At 35.9% G+C, this 21,205-nt stretch overlaps 1 protein-coding gene and 1 non-coding gene across 22 annotated transcripts in view; both read right to left on the reverse strand.

Moving 5' to 3' along the window:
* Positions 1-21,205, reverse strand: part of RALGAPA1 (Ral GTPase activating protein catalytic subunit alpha 1) — a 270,940-nt gene that overhangs the window by 229,777 nt on the left and 19,958 nt on the right. For all 21 annotated transcript variants that reach the window (XR_007063998.1, NM_194301.4, NM_001346246.2 and 18 more), the window contains exons 2-4: positions 7,503-7,613; positions 6,874-6,923; positions 2,810-2,867 (exon numbers count right to left, since the gene is read on the reverse strand). Coding sequence is in view for 20 of the 21 variants with exons in the window: in NM_194301.4 (NP_919277.2) it covers positions 2,810-2,867; positions 6,874-6,923; positions 7,503-7,613 (219 nt within the window). In the remaining variant the exon portion in view is untranslated. The remainder of the gene's footprint in view (positions 1-2,809; positions 2,868-6,873; positions 6,924-7,502; positions 7,614-21,205) is intronic.
* LOC124903425 (small nucleolar RNA U13) lies at positions 18,727-18,830 on the reverse strand. Its single transcript, XR_007064408.1, has one exon. It is a non-coding gene; the product is annotated as a small nucleolar RNA U13 (small nucleolar RNA).

Consider the following 21,205-nt stretch of genomic DNA (forward strand, 5'->3'; position numbering starts at 1 on the left):
TGTGATCACAGCTTACTGCACCCTTGAATTTCTGGACTTAAGTGATCCTCCTGCCTCAGCCTCCTGAGTAGCAGGGACTACAGGCACATACCAACAAGTGAGGCTAGCTTAAAAAAATTTCTTTTGTCTTTAAAGACAGAGTCTCACTATGTTGCTCAAGCTGGTCTCAAACTCCTGGCCTCAAGTGATCATCCTCTTTCAGCCTCTGCCAAGTGCTGAGATGACAGGCATGGGGCATCATGCCTGCCACAGAATGTTTTATAAAATATAAAAGAGGTTGAGTATGATGGCTCACACCTGTAATCCCAGCACTTTGGGAGGTTGGGGTAGGAGGATGGCTTGAAGCCGGAGGTTTGAGACCAGCCTGGGCAACAAAGCAAGACCCCGTCTCTACAAAAAATAATTTTAAAAAGTGAGCTGGGCCTGGTGGTGTACACCTGTGGTCCCAGCTACTTAAGAGGCTGAGTAGGGGGATGGCTTAAGCCCATTTCAAGGCTTCAGTGAACCATGATCAATCATGGCACTGCACTTCAGCCTGGTGACTGAATAAGATCCTGTCTCTTAAAAAAAATACAGTACTACAAAAAATAAATAGGTAGGGCACAGTGGCTCACGTCTTTAATCCCAGCACTTTGGGAGGCCGAGGTGGGCGGATCACCCGAGGTCGGGAGTTCATGACCAGCCTGACCAACATGCAGAAACCCCATCTCTACTAAAAATACAAAATAAGCCGGGTGTGGTGGTGCATGCCTGTAATCCCAGCTACTCGGGAGGCTGAGGCAGGAAGATCGCTTGAATCTGGGAGGCGGAGGTTGTGGTGAGCCGAGATAGTGCCACTGTACTCCAGCCTGGGCAACAAGGGCGAAACTCCGTCTCAAAAAAAAAAAAAAAAAAAAAAAAAAAATATATATATATATATATATATATATATATACACACACATAAAATATCAAAGACTAGAATGGAAAACAAGAAAATAGAAAGCAGAAAAAGTATAAAGAAAATCAATGATATCAAAAGTTTGTTCTTTGAAAAGATCAACAAATATGACAAATAGTTAGACTGGCCAATAAAATAGGAGAGAAGACATAAATTAACAAAATCAAGGATGAAAGCGGATATAGCCATTAAAAAGAATGAAATCATGTCCGGTGCAGCAACATTTAGCAACATGGATACAGCTGGAGGCCATTATTCTAAAGCAAATTAACATGGGAACAGAAAATCAAATATCATATACTCTCATTTGTAAGTGGGAGCTAAACACTGGGTACTCATGGACGTAAAAATGGCAATAATAGACATTGGGAAGTACTAGAGGGACAAGGGTTGAAAAACAGTTAGGTACTATGTTCACCACCTGGGTGACAGGATCAGTCATACCCTAAACCTCAGCATCATGAGATATACACATGTAACAAACCTGCATATGCATCCCCTGAATCTAAAAATAAAGTTGAAACCATTAAAGAATAAATAAAAAGTTTATGTAATATTAAAAAAAAAGAATGAAAGGGGACATCACTATTGACCCTATAGGAATCGAAAGGATTACTCTAAGGAATAACTTGAACAACTTTCTACTAACAAATTTGTTCCTAGAAAGAAACAAATTATCAAACTGACTCAGAGAGATATATAAAATCTGAATAAACCTATAACAAGAAATTGAAGTAATAATTACAAATATCACAAAGAAAAGTCCAAGTACAAATGGTCTCACTTTTGAATTTTATCAACTATTTAAAGAAGAAAATGTTACCTACCACTCATTCACAAACTGTTTCAGAAAACAAGAGGGACCACTTCTAAACTTCTATAGCTATCTTAATAGTAAAGCCAAATAAAGATTGACAAACTACAATACAATATTCCTCATAAACAGAGAGGCAAACTGAAGTAAGCAACAAATAAAAAGGACTATAAATAGTGAGTAAATAGGATTTACCTCAGGTATGGAAAGTTGGTTTAACATTTGAAAATCAATTAGTAAAATACATAATATTAATAGAATAAATGACAAAAGCACCAATGACACTGATAATGATCGCATCAATAGATGGAGAAAAAGCATTTGGCAAACTACAATGCACATTTATGATTAAAAACTCTCAAACTAGAAACAGAACTTCTTCAACTGGATAAAAGGCATCTACAAAAACACTACAGCTAAAATCACATATAATGGTGAAGACTGACCATTATCTTTCTCCCTGAAATCAGGAATAATGCAAGAATGTCTGCTCTTTCTTGCCACTTTTATTTAATATTGTACTGGAGGCACAATAAACAGAAAAGAAAGAAAGAAGAAATCAAAGGCATCTGATTAAAAAAAAAAGTAACTGTACTCATTCACAGATGATATAACCCTACAGTAGAAAATCCAAAGGAATATACAATAAAACAAATAGAACTAGCAAACAATAAGTAAATAAACTAGAAACAACACAAATGTCCATTCTATTTAGCACTTTGCATTTTTCTTCCATCTCTGATTCATAGAGATTTCTGATATCAGGAGATATTTGTCTTGATGCTAATCTTGCTTTTTTGTTTTATAGTTTTATCATCAATGTTAATGTATCAGAATAAAGGAAGCAGTGGATCCAAAAATTTCCTATGGCATTTTGACTGCAAATCCTTCATCTATAATTTTTCTTATATTCCTAGTCAATCTGTTCTTGTATTCTTTATTTTCTTTTTATTAAAGCATCACCTATTAATTCATTTCAACTAACAACCCATTAAAGAACATTTTTCATATATTATCCTTTGTTTCAAATATGAAATACATATTTGAATTACTTACCAATACTATGAAACTGCCATCGCTGATGAATTCTTTCTGGAAGAAGTTGTAAAATTTTCTAAAAATCAATATAAAGAGAAAAAAAGAAAAGAATAAAACCAAGTAATGAGTTCACATCCTGCAAAATGTGAAAAATTAAAGGGCTCACTAAGTATAACAAATACAAAATAGGCCGGGCACGGTGGCTCACACCTGTAATCCTAGCGCTTTGGGAAGCTGAGGTGGGTGGATCACCTGAGGTCAGGAGTTCGAGACCAGCCTGGCCAACATGGTGAAACCCTGTCTCTACTAAAAATACAAAAATTAGCCAAGTGTGGTGGCAGGCGCTTGTAATCCCAGCTACTCAGGAGGCTGAGGCAGGAGAATCGCTTGAACCCAAGAGGCAGAGGTTACCGTGAGCCGAGATCACGCCACTGCCCTCCAGCCTGGTCAATAAGAGCAAAACTCCGTCTCGAAACAAAACAAAACAAAACAAACAAACAAACAAAAAACTACAAAATAGTCCCTGAGCTAATTTGATAGTATTGACATTATTTTAGCACTGGCATGTTGATCACTATTTGAAAGCCTCAAAAAACAACAAGCAATACTAACCAGTACTTAGAACAAGAAATTAACAAAATACATCTTTTACAATAATATAGAAGGTATATGTTTTCCTAATGATTAAATGCTAATTCTAATATATTTAAAATGCTTATTTACTATTTCTAGATTTTCTTTTTTTTCCCCCTTTAGAGACAGAGTCTTGCTATGTTGCACAGGCTGGAGTGCACTGGCTATTCAGAAGCATGATCATAGTGCATCACAGCCTTAACTCCCAGACTCAAGCAATCCTCCTGCCTCAGTCTCCCAACAAGGTGGGAATACAGGCACACACCACTATGTCTAGCAATTCCTAGAATTTCTATATTGTGGATATCACTGATGAGTTTCAATTCTTTCAGATATTAATATTTGTGACATTTTCTCTTTCTTCTAATGGTTCTTTCTCCTATCTTGATAATCCTAGAGAAAGTATTTTGATTTCATGAGAACCCCATCAAATATTTATACTGAGTTAATCATGTGAAACTAGAGGTACTTAGATGCTATGATGGATATAGGTATGAGAGCAAATTTTTTTTTTAAGAGGTGGGGGTTTCACCCTTTCACCCTGGCTGGAGTGCAGTGGTGTAATCATAACTCACCACAGCCACAAACTCAAGGGTTCAAGTGATCCACTCGTCTCAGCCTCCCAAATAGGACTACAAGTGTGTGCCACCATGCCCAGCTAAATTTTTTTTACTATTTTTGTGGAGATGGAGTATTACTATGTTGTCCAGGCTGCGCCCAAGCTTCAGGCCTCAAGCAATCCTCCTGCCTTGGCCTTCAAAAGTGCTGGGATTACAAGCATGAGCCACTGCACCCGGACAGAGAGCAGGATTTAAAATTTTAGGAGCCCTGTAGTTAAGCTAACATATATAGGTTTCCATTAATTGGTAATAAAATCTTTACACAAATATGTTCAAAATTCTGCCTTTTATTTCCCTTAATATTATACCTGTTTGGATTATTCTCGATCAAGAGCTACCTTACTGCTAAACAGTGCTCTCAATACTCATCCACTTGCTGAATGACATTTTTGTGTGTTTGCTGTTATTGCTGTTCTTACTATTATTTAGAACTCCATTAAATGAATGCTAATAAGGGCCAAACACTAGGCACTTTATTATATATGTATATTAATTAATATACCTTGCATTAATCCTTGCAATCATTCCAAAAGGAGGGTTTATCTCATTCAACAAATGAAGAAATGGGTTAAGTAGTGCACTTAGGTTACAAAGCTAGAAAGTGAAAGAACAGAGGTTCCAAATTCAATACGCCTATTTCTAAAACCTCTGCCTTGATAATATACTGCTCAAATGATGACATGCATATTTTATATTTCCTTGTCTTCTCGTTGATATCATCTTCTTTAGTAAACCCCATATGAAAGGATGATAAAGAAATTTTAAAGTTCTACACAGATAAATGCTGGTCCCACATGAGACACATAAACTCTTTTACCTTTGTCCTCCCTATGTCTCCCACAGCTGGCCAACAACTGCATAATTATATTTATTTTTGTATAGAAAGAGATAAACTTATAGAAAAGTTGAAAAGACAAATTTGTAAACTATTCAAAAGCATTTCTAAATTACAACTAATAATTATACTTTAGATTTAGCCCCTTATATTTTTATATGGTAAATAAAAGATTAAAGAGATTACATGTGCCCTAAACTGCACAGAATATAAAACCTCTACCATATTATTAGTAACAACACATAATGATGCTTTTTATTCCAGAAGAAGGAAATCATTTTATTTCTGATTTCTTTTTCATCATCAGTTTCTAAAGGTAGAGGCCCCCTACTATAAGTAGAACGTCAGCACAAAAATCAAATGATTTTTTCAAAAGATGAAAACCTGGTATCTCAGATCTTTTTTCTAATAAAATTTAGTGATCCATTAAAGACAAACATTTCTATGTAAAGAATAAAAAATAATCAATATATATTACATATAGAAAAATAGTTATTTTTACATATAAGGAATACTCCAAAAGGGCTTCTATTAACTAATCAATCATCTCAGTTTCCTGAATCTAAGGCAAGCGTAAACATTTGAAGGAATACTTTCCAAGAATCATTAGCTTGCTTTCTCTGTGGATATTTTTATTCTTTCTCAAAGCAACTACGTTTCAATATTCCCCTTGTGAACAGTTCATGCAAACACTTCAGGAAGTAATATAATCAAATTCCTCAGGGGTCACGACTAATGAAAATTAACTGCAGAACAGATACTAACATCAGCGTTACTACTGTTTGGAACTCTTAAAAAAAATTCTTTTTTTCCCCCCTTAACTAAATCAACAGCTAAGAGACATATAAATGAGGTTGTTCAAATTCTAAATTACATCAAAATACTAAAGAGTGAATTATTATTATTATTATTATTATTATTTTTGAGACAGGGTCTCACTCTCTTGCCCAAGAGTGCAGTGGCACAATCACGGCTCACTATAGTTTCGACCTCCTGGGTTCAAGGGATCCTCCCACCTCAGCCTCCTGAGTCACTAGCACTACAAGCGCCTGCCACCACCATGCCTTGGCTAACTTTTTTGATTTTTAATAGAGACTAGGTCTTGCAGTGTTGCCCAGGCTGGTTTCTAACTCCTGAGCTCAAATGAACCTCCCACCTCAGCCTCCGAAAGTGCAGGGATTACTTTGAACCACCACATACAGCCAAGAGTGAATTATCTTTAATTAGCACCAGACAGAATAGCTCAATCTTCAGAAACTGATTTCCAAATTATTTTCTATGCATATTCCTGGCTTTCTACAGGTCTCGAAATTCTCAGTGAAGATCAGAATACTCCTATGACTGTTTATCTGTTTACTTTGAAAGACAATAAAGAGCAAGGAGTTATTTTAAAAGGGGAGTAAAAGGGTCTTAATTTTTAAGTGTGCTAAAAATTAAAAAAAAAAACTAGCAGAGCATCAAAATTTTGTTCATTTACCTATGAGCTATGTTTCCTGACTTTTATTTATAAAGACTTGCCCCATTTCCAATCTAATGTAAAATGACAATTTTTAAAATATTTAAGACTATTTTAAACAAGTTTGCAATGAAAAGCAGTGAACCAAGAAACAATAAATCCCTTAGGCACATAAAAGTTACAGGAATATACCTTCTTAGGTAAGAATGTTTTGGAGTTAAAACAAAATCAAATTTTCCATTTCAGTAAACCTTCGACAAATTAAAATCTTCATTGTTTGCAAACACACTGAATATCATACCAATTTTGTGGTGTCAAATGTATAAAAACATAATTATATCTGTACCAAAAAGTAATACATTGTACCTCAAAAAGTATAGGATTCAGTCAGGCATATTTAAAAAATTTAGATTTAGTTCTTAGAAAGGCTGGCAAATTCAGAGTGTTTCATTACATGTTTTATAATTTAAATATATTCCTTTGTATGTTCCAAAAATTATTTTTGAAAAAGGGAAAAGTTAGGTTCAGAAGCACTTACCTCAAAAATAAAAAGTATAGCATCCAATTCCTCTCTTTGAGACTTGTGACCTAAAACATTTTTATAAGAAAACATTTAAAACATATCATTTTGTCCTCATAATGAACTTAAAATATTTCAAGAATGAAGGTTTTTTTTTTCCCAGCAATTATTTAGTAAAATGTTTAAAGCATATTCCATTCATTGTGTAGACAATATCACAGTCACTCTCTTTACTCTTTTGAGTACTGTAATTAAATTTAGGTTCCACATATTTATGTCTAGAAACAAATCATGATATATTACAAAGAACTTCAAATAAGCTCTGAAAATGAAAATATGAAAATGACTGCTCAAATGTGACATATGCTCCTAGGGCAGAACCAAAGAAGGCACAATGAGGGAACAAATCAACCTGACCAGTGAAAAAGCAAATCTTCAAGCCATTGTAAAGTAATAAGGATAGTAATACTAACCCATCAGTTGTCTTTAAAATACAGGTCACTAGACCTATGATAGTAGTGTGAGAGGGAAAGCAAAAAGCTGTCCGACAAAAATAAGTGAAACAATATGTCCAACAGCCTTTAAGTTATGTTTATGACAATTATTAGAAATATTAACATACGCCAAGATATATGTTAGCATCTTACCTTTCTGTTTAAGACTAGCTTCAATAGTCACAAAATTTTCAAAGAACACATAGTATATATGTGAAAAATGTTGGTCGAAAAACTGTTTAAGATCAATAGATTCTGCATTCTCTGAAAAATAAAAAAAAATTACTGATTATTTACATGTATGTTAAATCAAGTTTAGCAAATATTCAGCGACAAGTTTCCTTCAAAGTCAAAGAACTGCTCCTAAAATTCTATTCTATTAAAATATTTACAATATATATTTCTATGTCTATATCCTCGTTCTTAAAACTTTAGTCTTTGCCGATTTTAGTTTTAATTTTAAAAACTGATCAAGAAAACAATAGCTCAGAAAAACTTATTCAAAATCATTAATCATACCAAAAAAAGAAGTTAAGTTCTATTTTCAATTCACAGCTACAGCTTTCCTAACTTCTCCCCAAGACAGTTGAAAATCAGAATAATAATTTATGATGTCTGAAGGCCAGGTATGGTGGCTCACGCCTGTAATCCCAACTTTGGGAGGCCAAGGTGGGCAGATACCTGAGGTCAGGAGTTCGAAACCAGCCTGGCCAACACAGTGAAACCTCATCTCTACTAAAAATACAAAAATCAGCTGGGTGTGGTGGCGTGCACCTGTAATCCCAGCTACTTGGGAGGCTGAGGCACGAGAATCACTTGAACCCAGGAGGTGGAGGCTACAGTGAGCCAAGATTGCGCCACTGCACTCTAGCCTGGGAAGACAGAGTGAGACTCCACCTTGGGGAAAAAAAAAAAAAAGAAGAATTTATAATGTCTGAAATATATTTATTCTGTAAATAGGTACCTAACAATAGGCTTTGTAAATAGGTACTTAGGGATTAAAAAGCTCAAACACAGACAGTACTGCTCTAAAGAAACTGTCAGTAAGAGCAGGGCATGCAAAATTAAATGAATAACTATATGAACAGTAGAAGTGTTAGTACTAAAAGTGAGATGTCAAAGTATATGGCAGTTTAGAAACACAAGAGTACTTTCAAAGCTCAATAAAGCACAAAGGTGGGGAAAGAAAAAAGGCCTGACAGAGTACATAATATCTGAAAAGACTTTTAAGGACAGGAAGAACACTAGACATAAAGTGGTGGAGTTGAATGGAAAGGGCATTCAAGGCATAAAAAATACATGGAGCAAGAAAAACGTGAGGTATGCATGTATACACATGTAACAAACCTGCACGTTGTGCACGTGTACCCTAGAACTTAGAGTATAATAAAAATTTTTTTTAAATTTACTATTTACTATGAAGCTTTAAAAAAAAAAAGTCAAAGTGGCCTGGTTCTCTCATAATCTCTGAGATCCAGATTGGAGAACTGTAGTTTCTGGGTCCCTCTTGGAAGAGATTAGCAAATGCATAATCAGCAATCTGTCTCAATCAGTGCTGTCTCCTAGAAATATAATGCAAGCCACAAATATTAGCTACATATGTGATTTTAAATTTCCTTGTAATCACATTTTAAGAAATAAAATGACACGGGGAAATTAATTGTAATAATATATTTTGTTAACAAAATATATTTAAGATACCATTTTTAAGTGCTACCAATAAGAACCTATTAACGAAAAACAAAAGAAAAGAAAAACGTGAGGTATGATAGTATCCAGAAAAATAATCCATTTTGGCTAAAGCTTAGAGCATTTTAATAAAAATAAACAAGTAGACTTGAGATATGCTTGCATGTACTTATGCATATGTATATGTATTTATGCATAGAAGATACCAAACAACTAGGCAGCGTTACCTCTAGGGAGCATGACTAGTTTTATTGTTGCTTAGCTCATTTTCAGTGTAAGTGAGAATGCTGGTGAAAAAGAGTGGAGAAATTCTACTTTATGTACTTCCTACTATTCCAAATTGTTTACAAAAAGCACATTACTTCTCTTACAATACAAAATAGAATTTTTTGTTTCTGTTTTATTTTTTTGAGATGGTGTCTTGCTCTGTGGCCCAGGCTGTAGTGTAGTGGTACAATCTCGGCTCCCTGCAACCTCCACCTCCAGGGTTCAAGCGATTCTCCTGCCTCAGACTCCCGAGTAGCTGGGATTACAGGTGCCCACTATCACACCTGGCTAATTTTTATATTTTCAGTAGAGATGGGGTCTCACTATGTTGGCCAGCCTGACCTCAAGTGATCCGCCCGCCTCAGTCTCCCAAAGTGCTGGGATTACAGGTGTGAGCCACTGTGTCCAGCCTCAAAACATAATTTTAAAAGGCAACTGAAAAAATAAAAGATTTTTGAAAGGAAACAAAGAAACCATTGTAAATAAACTCAAGTTAAAGGTAAACATCAATTAATTTCTTAGAATGCACTAAGGCTCAACATAAGATTTCAAAATAAAGTACAGTAACAACATATAGATAGCACTTTAAACTCTTTCATGTATTATCATATCCTACGAATATTCATTACAATTTTGGGGGGGAGACAGGGTCTCACTCTATCACCCAGGCTAGAGTGCTGTGGCATGATTACAACTCACTGCAGCCTCAACCTCTTGAGTTCAAGCAATCCTCCCACCTCAGCCTCCAAAAGTACCTGGGACCCAGGTCTCCCCACCACACCTAGCTAATTTTTGTAGAGATGGGGTCTTGTTATGTTGCCCAGGCTGTTCTCAAACTACTGGGCTGAAGCAATCCTCCTACCTTGGTCTCAAAGTGTTGAGATTACAGGCGATAGCCACAACACCTGGCATAGTAACTTTTTAGTGATGTCTTATCTATGTGATTTTCCAAGACTGTTTTTTGTTCTGCCATTCCAAAAGGAAAGGGATATATGCCTTTCCTCTCTATTCCCTTGGATTCTGTACATTTCTCTTTTATGGAAAGAACAATGTTTCAAATGTCTTATTGTCTTTCTTCCAGGACTAGTCTAGCATCTTTAGAATAGAAACTGTGTCTACCTCAGGATTTCTAAAAATTGGCACAATGCTGAGCAAACAATATGTACTCAAATGTGTTTTATTACTAACAAAATTAATTATTTTTACTTCATTATATTCAGTTCATACAATATGGAAATTTTTACCTTGGAAAAGACTGCATAACCTACTGACAGGCAAAATAGAACTGCCTCCTCTTGACTGGAATTAGAATACCCAGATTTCACTCCTGTCTGTAACACTTACTACCTATGTGACTTTTCACAGAACTAGACAAAATAATAATGTGTAACACAAAGCGAATGTTTTCTAAACAATGCACACTATTCTCAGCACTCCACAGAAACTAATTCCTATAATCTACATAGCAATACTATGAAATTAGTACCATTATTATCTCCATTTTACAGGTGAGAAAATTTAGGTACAGAGAGTCTAAGAAACTTAGCTCATAAGAAGTAGAGTCAGGATTTAAACAACAGGTAACCCTAGATCTATTCAGCCTCCAATGTAATACATCTGTAAAAAAAGAATACTAAATATTTATCTATTATCTGCCTATAAGAATAATAGTCATCAAATACTAGTTAAATATAGTTTATCAAATATCAAAATAAAAGCACATACAACTGAAATAAAGAGGAAAGGTGTTCTAGTTTTCCCACAGAGTAGTTTAAAGAATTATGAAATTAGAATAAAACAGGCTTGGGCTGGGCAAGGTGGTTGACATCTGTAATCCCAGTACTTTAGGAGGCTGAAGTGGGAGGGTTGTTTGAGGCCAGGAGTTTGAGATCAGCCTGGGCAACACATTGAGATTCCATTTCTACAAAACTAAAAAATCAGCCAAGCATGGTGGCATGTGCCTCTAGTCCCAGCAACTCTGGAGACTAAGGTGAGGGAATCCCTTGAGCCTAGGAATTTAAGTTAAGTTGCAGTGTGCTATGATTGAGCCAATGCACTCCAGTCTAGGCAACAAAGCGAGACCTTGTCACTAAATAATAATAATAATAATAATGAAATAATAATAAAGAAATAATAAATAATAATAAAGAAATAGGCTGCTACAATTACCTCTAAATTTCCTAAAATTAATGTTTCAAAGACACAATGTTCGAGGAAAAAAAAGAAAATGAGAACAATAACAAAGCAAACCAAAAAAACACAACAAAAGCAAACATGAATCAACTCAAGATTTTGCGACATATTAGGAGCCAAAGTATTCTCTCTCAATTTCCTTCCCATAAGGCATGCTAACAAAGTCTGGAAATTATTTACTTTCTAACGCTAATAAAAATGATCAAAATTAGGCTGGGCGCAGTGGCTCACGCCTATAATCCCAGCACTTTGGGAGGCTGAGGTGGGCGGATCATGAGGTTAAGAGATTGAGACCATCCTGGCCAACATGGTGAAACCCTGTCTCTACTAGCTGGGCGTGGTGGTGGGCGCCTGTAGTCCCAGCTACCAGGGAGGCTGAAGCAGCATAATCGCTTGAACCCAGGAGGTGGAGGTTGCAGTGAGTCAAGATCGCATCACTGCACTCCAGCCTGGGTAACAGAGCTAGACTGTCTCAAAAAAAAAAAAATTATTGCTAGAGAAGAAGGACATTTTATAATAGTTAAAGGGTTAATCTTTTAAGAAGATATAACAATTGTGAACATATATGCACTTAACAACAGAACTCCCAACCCCCAAAGCAGAAACTGAACAGAACTGAATTGAAGGAATATACACACAATTCAACAATGGTAATTTAAGAGTCAACACTCTACTTTCAATAATGAATAGAACTAGACAGAAGGGAAAATAGAAGACCTAAACAATACTATAATGCAGCCAGATCTAACAGACATCTATCGAATGCCCATCTAACAACAAAAGAATACAGTCTTTTCAAATGCACATGGTATACTATCCAAAATAGACCATATGTAAGGCCATAAAATAAACTTCAGTAATTTAAAAGGACTGAAGACAAAGTATGTTATCTGGCCACAGTGGAATGAAATTAGAAATCAATAACATAAGGAAATTAAGAAAACTCACAAATATGTGGAAATTTAGCAATACACAACTAAATAACCAATTGGTCAAAGAAAAATCACAGGAGAAGTTAGAAAATCTTTGAGATGAATGTAAATGAAAATACAACATACCAAAACTTATGGCATCCAGCTAATCCAGTGCTGACAGAAAAATCTATAGCTTTAAATTGCTATATGAGAAAGAAATCTGAAAATCGAACCATAATGTTCCACCTTAGGAAGTAAGACCATTGGCTGGGTGCGTTGGTTCACGCCTGTAATCCCAACCCTTTGGAAGGCCGAGGCAGGAGTCTCAATTGAGCCCAGCAGTTTACAACCAGCCCGGGCAACTTAGTGAGACTCCATTTCTACAAAGAAATTAAAAATAGCCAGGTGTGGTCATACATATATACGAAAATAAAGAGCAAACTAATCCTAAAGCACAAAGAAGGAAATAAAGATTAGAAAGGACATAAAAGAAATAGAGACCCCCCAAAAAAAATCATTAAACAAAAATTGGTTCTTTGAAACACTCAAAAAACTTGACAAACTGTCAGCTAGACTGTCCAAACTGAAAAAGACATAAGATTCAAATCACTAATCTGGACTGGAATATAATACATTACTACTAACCCTACAGAAATAAAAATTATAAGAGGATACTATGAGCAACTGTATGCTAGCAAATTACACAGCCTATATGAAATGAACAAATTACTAGAAAGTCACAAACCACCAAAACTGACTCAAGAAGAAATAGAAATTCTGAAACAACCTACAATGAATGAGAAGATTGAATTAGTGGGGGAAAAAAAACTACTTCAAAGAAAAGCTTGGACTCAAATGGCTTATGGGTGAATCCTACCAACTCTTCCAAAAAATAGAGTATATTTCCCACTCATTCTATGAGGCCAATATTCTCATATGAAAATCAGACAAAAACATTACAAGAAAAATACAGACCAATATCCTTTATGAATATGAATGTAAAAATCCTCAACAAAATACTAGAAAACTGAATCTATCTATCTATCTATCTATCTATCTATCTACACACACACATACACACACACTCACTATGACTAAGTGACATTCATCCCAGAAGGCAAGGTTGGTTCAACATATAAAAATCAATCACTGTAATACCTTATGTTAACATAAAGGTCAAAACTCACATGATAGTTTCAATAGACACAGAAAAAACATCTGACAAAACCCAATATAATTTCATCCTAAAGATACTCAAAAAGCTAGGAAAAGAAAAGTATTTCTTAACCTGATAACAGGTATCTATGAAACGGTCACAACTAACAACACACTTAGTGAAAAAAGACTGAAAGCTTTACCCCTAAAAGCATGAACAAGACATGGATGTCTTTTTGTTACTTTTATTTAATATTATACTGTAAATTCTAGCCAAGACAATTATGCATGAAAAAGAAATAAAAGCCACACACATTGTAAAGTCCAAAGCATTACTATCTCTACTCATAAATGACATGATCTTGGATATCGAAAATCCTAAGGAATCCACCAAAAAATCCTATCTGACTGACAAACAAGCTCAACTAGGTTGCAGAATACAAGATTAATAAGAAAAATCAACTGTATTTCTATACACTGGCAATGAACAATCTAAAAGTGAAATTAAGCAAACAATTCCATTTACAATAGTTTGAAATAGAATAAAATACTTAAATTTAACAAAAGAAGTACAAGACTTGTACACTGGAAACTACAAAACATTACTGAAAAAAATTAAAGACTAAAACAAATGGAGACATTCTGTGTTCATGAGTAAGACTGAATGCTGTTAAGATAGCAACAGCCCCCAAATATACCTAAAGATTCAATGTACTCTTTTTTTTCTTCTATTTTTTCTTTTTTTTGAGACAGAGTATCACTCTGTTGCCCAGGCAGGAGTGCAGTGGCTCAATCTCGATCTCGGCTCATTGCAACCTCCGCCTCTCAGGTTCAAGAGATTCTCCTGCCTCAGCATCCAGAGTAGCTGTGATTACATGCATGTGCCACCACACCCAGCTAATTTTTGTATTTTTAGTAGAGACGAGGTTGGCCAGGCTGGTCTTGAACTCCTAACCTAAGGTGATCCACCCGCCATGGCCTCCCAAAGTGCTGGGATTACAGACATGAGCCACCACACCCAGCCTCAATGTACTCTTTACCAAAATCCTAACATAGTTTTTTGCAAAAACTGACAAGCTAATCCTAAAATTCAAAAGAAAATGCAAGTGACCCAGAATAGTCAAAACAGTATTTTTTTTTTTTAAATGGAGTCTCGCTGTTACCTAGGCTGGAATGCAGTGGTGCAGTCACAGTTCACTGCAGCCTCAACCTCCCAGACTCAAGCAATCCTCCCACCTCAGCCTCCTGAGTCACTGGGACTACAAGTTTATGCCATTACACCTGGCTCATTTTTTAAATTTTTTGTAGAGACAGGCATTGCCACATGTTGCCCAGGCTGGTCTCAAACTCCCGGACTCAAGTGATCCTCTCACCTCTACTCCCAAAGTCCTGAGATTACAGGCATGAGCCACCAAGAACAATGCTGGAGAACTGACATTGTCTCATTTCAAAACTTACTACAAAGCTACACTAATCAACAGAGTGTAGTACCGGGATAAGGATAGACATATAGATGAATGGAACAATTGAGAGTTCAGAAATAAATCCTTACACTGATGATCAACTGATCATCGACAAGGGTACCAAACAACTCAAGGAGGAAAAGGAGGGAAAAAAAAAGTATTTTTAACAAATGGTTGACTTTTTTTTCCTCATTGAGTTGTTTGGTACCCTTCAAAAGTCTTTTCAACACACAGTTGAAAAGAATGAAGACTATACTTGAAAAATTAACTCAAAATGGATCAAAAACCAAAAACCTAAATGTAAAAACTAAAATTATAAAACTCAGAAGAAAACATGACCTTGAATCAGTCAATTCTTTCTTAGATATGACACTAAATGCACAAGCAATAAAAGAAAAAATAAATTTGACTTCATCAAAATTCAAAACCTTTTTGCTTCAGAGGACACTATCAAGAAAATGAGAAAATAACCTACAGAATGCAAGAAAATATTTGCAAATTATATACCTGATTTTAAAACATTAGTCTCCAGAATATAGAAAGAATTCTTATAATTCAATTGTAAAACAAAAATTTTTAATGGTCAAAGGATTTGAATATATATTTCTCCTAAGAAGATATACAAATAGCCAGTAAGCTCATGAAAAAACGTTTAACATCATTAGCCATCAGGGAAATGCAAAGCAAAACCACAATGAGATACTACTTCTAACCCACTATGATAGCTATAATCAGAAAGACAGACAATACCAAGTGTTGGCAATATGGGAAAATTTGAATCTTTGTACACTGCTGGTGGGAATATAAATGATGAAGCCACTCTGGAAAACAGTGTGGCAGGTCCCTAAAAAGTTTAATATAGAGTTATCATATGGCCCAGCAATTCCATTCCTAGAACATTACATACCCAAGAATTGAAAACATAAGATCAGGCTGGGCAACATGGCAAAAGTGTCTCATCTCTATCAAAAAAAAAAAGAAAAAGAAAGAAAATGTATGCCCACACAAATGTTTATAATGTTATTATTCATAATGGTCAAACAGTGGAAATAACCCAAATGTCCATCAATTGATGAATGGATAGACAAAATATGGTATAATCCATACAATGAATATTATCTAGCCGTAAAAAGCACGAAATAGTATTATAAGCTACAATGTGATGGACTTTGAAAAGATTATGCTAAGTGAAAGAAGCCAGACACAAAAGGCCATATATTTATTATTCTATTTATATGAAACATGCAGAAGAGTCAACCACAGAGATGGAAAGTATCTAATGGCTGGCAGGGGCAGGAAGTAAGGAGAAATGGGGAGTGATTGCTAAAAGGTATGAGTTTCCGTTTCTTTTCCTTTTTTGCTGATCTATTCCTTTTAGCTCATCTAATATTCAACCCCTTGACATCCTAATTTGTGAGATCTGCCAGACCCTACCTGGCTAACTGAATCTGAGAGCTATACCTTCTTGGCCAGGCTGAAAAGAATTAACCTAAAAAGAAGCTGAAGAGCTCATGGAGATCAGACTGAGAAAGGCAAATTTTTTTTTCCTAAGTCTAGATATTACAAACTGTTATATCATCAAGTTACTGATATTTATTGCAAGCAAAGCATTACCTTCACATTTATGCAGTTGAAGACTAGCTAGTTACTAGTATACCATTATTACAGAATACAAAATAATGTTATTTTTTAATTGAGTAGTCCGATGATAGGCGAGTAATCAAAATACAGTACTACTGGTCATGCATGGTGGTTCACATCCATAATCTCAACACTTTGGGAGGCTGAAGTGGGAGGATAGCTTGAGGCCAGGGGTTTGAAATTAGCCTGCCAATATAGCCAGACCCTATCTCTACAAGCAAATAAATAAATAAAAATGAAACAGTACTGCCAGTATTCTGTATCTAATTGTACATGTCCAAAACAGATAATTTCTTGATTCATTAAATCATTTCCCTAACACTCAAAGACATTATTTTGGATACTGAAAATAATTAAACATATGGTATCTGGAAATTTAAAATCTAAAGTGGCTAAAACAAATATAGGCAGACATTTTATAAACATTAAGTTTTTGCACAATGCAAATACTTTAAATTATAAAATGTGTTTAATAAAAATAATTACCCGTTCTTGCTTATATCTTGTTCCTTGAAATCTGAAAATGATGGATCTGATCTGATCTCTATCTGATCTGATCTTCACAGATAGCTTGAGAACCATTTGAATAAATAGATACAGTGCTTTGCAAATACTTTAAATTATAAAGAAGTAAAAAGAGGTTTTATATACTGGAAAATGCATTACACTGAATAAGGAAAATCCTATTATACTGGGAAGAGAAAATATACTTTGAAACAACAGAGGATAAAGGCAGAGGAAGTTAATTCTAAATGCACAGTATAGCTCGTGTTCTCAAACTGTCTGTGAAGGACCAGTTTTTTTGTTTTGGTTTTTAAATTCCAATTTGTCACAGACCAGTGCTTTACGACAAATGTATTACTAGAAAATAAGGTGAAAAGCACCAGGATTGGTCTACACCCCATTTCATAAGACAAGTCCACTAATCACATGCTTGGATATCACAGTACTGTCAAGCTGAGATGACCTTCTCAACACACTCAATTTCCATAATTAAGCTGTTGCAGAACTGTAATAACAGTCAGTAAACTAGTACCAGTTTGTGGACTACATTTTGAGTAGCAGTGGTTTTGACTATGGGAAGAAGGAATGGGCCAGGCACAGTGGCTTATGCCTGATACCAGCACTTTGGGAGGCTGAGGTGGGTGGATCACTTGTGCTTGCTCAAGAGTTCGAAACCATCTCTACAAAAAAATACAAAAAATTAGCTGGGCGTGGTAGTGCACACCTATGGTTCCAGCTACTCAGGAGGCTGAGCTGGGAGAATTGCTTGAGCCTGGGAGGCAGAGGTTGCAGTGAGCCGAGATTGTGCCACTGCACTCCAACCTGGGTGACAGAGTGAGACCTTGTCTCAAAAAGAAAAAAAAACATAAGAGAAGGAATGATACAGAGTTTCAGTGTGTAGGCTGAACAGCCTTGATAGTGGTGCTGGAGGTAAGAAATATGTTCCTGTTATAAATTCACCAGTAAAACAGGGTTTTAAAAAGTAGAGTGATACAGTCAGGGAAGTGGCATCATCTCCACTTCTGAAATCTTCATTAAAATCTGGTTACCAGCCAGGCGCGGTAGCTCAGGCCTGTAATCCCAGTATTTTGGGAGGCTGAGGCGGGCGGATCACGAGGTCACGAGGTCAGAAGATCGAGACCATCCCGGCTAACCCCGTCTCCATTAAAAAATACAAAAAATTAGCCGGGCGTGCTGGCAGGCGCCTGTAGTCCCAGCTACTCGGGAGGCTGAGGCAGGAGAATGGCGTGAACCCGGGAGGCAGAGGTTGCAGTGAGCCGGGATCACACCACTGCATTCCAGCACTCCGTCTCAAAAAAAAACAAAAAACAAAAAACTGGTTACCAAATCCATAAAGTATCTCTCCACAGTATCTCTCACAAACACTAGTTCTTTTCTATTTACCTTGCTATTAAATCGAAATTTTAAGGTCGAGGCCTAATATCTTTATTTTTAAAAGCTAGAAGGACCACTGCCTTCCACTTGCCTGCATTCATGTCTGTGCTCTTATCCTAACTGCTTTTCCTTCATGTCTTTTTTCAAAAAAAATCATATCAGACGAGTAATGTGCCAACATCATAAAAAGGTTTGTGGGACGTACATCTCATATATGAGTGTGAAAACCCAATCATCATGCTTATGAACTACAAAAGGCTCTCTTCCTTCACTTCTATCTATTGAAATTTTAATCATCATCTTCCAAGGCACAGATCAAATGTCCCTGCCCCATGAAGCCTTCTCTGAGCCACTCATTTAGATATGACTCTTCTCTCTTATACTCATAACATGTTTCATATTTGACACATGATTCTCTTTTACTATACCATTAACTCCTTTACTCCTTTAGTTACCCAAAATTTAGCAAAGCACTGTATCTATTTATTCAAATGGTTCTCACACTATCTGTGAAGATCAGATAGAGATCAGATCAGCTCCATCATTTTCAGATTTCAAAGAACAAGATATAAGCAAGAACGGGTAATTATTTTTATTAAACACATTTTATAAGAAATGGCATATTTACAGTAAGTGGCTTAGCCCTAAGAACAATTGATGGAAAAGGGAAGACGACTGGGAACCTTGAAGCTAACAATCTAAAAGAATTCACATTAAAACAACAAATTTTTGGTAACACAAACACACCTCTTATCCTAGTTATTCTATTTTAGGTTTGGGTGGAGAAGGAAAGAGTAATTGTTGCTAGGTGAATTCCTTGCATTTTTTGAAATAAATACCAACAAGAAATTTTATTTCCTTTCATTCATTTAATTCTCCTTTGTTTTCTAACACATAGCTTAAATAATTTTCTAATTTACCCATTTCTTTTTTTTTTGAGACAGGGTCTTGCTGCAGCTTCGACCTCTGGGCTCGTAATTCTCTCACCTCAGTCACCCAAGTAACTGGGACAACAGGTACATGTCACCACACCCAGCTAATTAAAAAAAAAAAAAAGTTGTAGAGATGGGGGTCTCACTATGTCGCCCAGGCTGGTCTCAAACTCCTGGGCTCAAGCAATCCTCCTGCCTTGGCCTCCCAAAGTGCTGGAATTGCAGTTGTAAGCCACTGCACCCAGACCCTAATTTACCCATTTCTAATAAAGACTGAGACAGAAGAACAGAATCTAAACCACATCAAGATCATTCAGGGATTTCTACTCAGTTTTTTATTTTATTTAATTTTTTTGAGATGGAGTCTCACACTGTTGCCCAGGCTGGAGTGCAGTGGTGTGATCTCAGCTCACTGCAACTTCTGCCTCCTGGATTCAAGCGATTCTCCTGCCTCAGCCTCCCGGGTAGCTGGGATTACAGGCACCCGCCACCATGCCCAGCTCATTTTTTGTATTTTTAGTAGAAACGGGATTTCATCATGTTGGCCAGCCTGGTCTCAAACTCCTGACCTCGTGATTTACCCACCTCGGCCTCCCAAAGTGCTAGGATTACAAGCTTCAGCCACTGCACCTGGTACTCAGTTTGTTTTTTTAAGAACAAATTCTACTTCTTAACATTAAGCAAGTCACAACATCCCTGATTCAATTTTATTTCCTTAAGGTTCCTATGAAAAGTCAAATGATGCTTGAATTTTTTCCATAAACTGTGGTTCAAATTCATTTTTTCATTCATATTTGAGGTGTTATTATTTTAATTTTATATACAGGTAAACTGAAGATCAAAAGTTTTAAATAAATAATATAGCTGAAGCCAGGCACAGTGGCTCATGCCTGTAATCCCAGTGCTTTAGGAGACTAAGGCAGGAGGATCACATGAGGCCAGGAGTTCAAGACCAGCTTCAGCAACATAGTGAGGGGTGGAGAAGCTACCCAATTCACAAATTCTTTGCTCAATTAAACTCTGTTAAACATAATTTGTCTAAAGTTTTTAACAAGGAAGATTATCTTATACCCTCTGCCATAATGTCATAAATATTTTTCAGTTAAAGTCCTGTTTTATATTTTTGTTTGTTTTTCTCTATTACATTATGGACCTTAGTTTATGAACCAAATTTCTTTGCACCAATACTTAAGACAACCCAAGGAATGCTGACTTTAATGTCTTTTCTATCATTGTCCATTGCTTGCTCATGAGTTGTTCACAAAACAGCAATTTTGCTCCCCTCAAACCTAGTATATTCATTCATGAACTAAATAATATTTACTGAACACTGATTATATGCCAGGCGCCATGCTAAGTCTAGGAATATGAACATGAAAAGATACACATCTGCCCTCAGGAAGGCAAGCAAATAAATAAATATGTTGTAATAAAAAAATCAAACTACTAGAGGGAAAGATGCTCAGTGTACAAAAAACTCCTATACCTACATGATAGGGAAGACTTCATAGAGGCTATCTATTGATTCTGCCCTGAGATTTTAAAGAAGACTAGAAGCTTTCAGATATAAGGGTGATGGGAAGGCAGTCTAGTATAAATATCATTAGCTACGGCACAGGTATCACAGACTATACATGTAAAGGATCTAGAATGCACCCTCCTTATAAGAATCTAATGCCTGATTGGTGGTGGCTCAGGCCTAT

Source organism: Homo sapiens, chromosome 14, assembly GCF_000001405.40.
Source record: "Homo sapiens chromosome 14, GRCh38.p14 Primary Assembly".
NCBI lineage: Eukaryota > Metazoa > Chordata > Mammalia > Primates > Hominidae > Homo > Homo sapiens.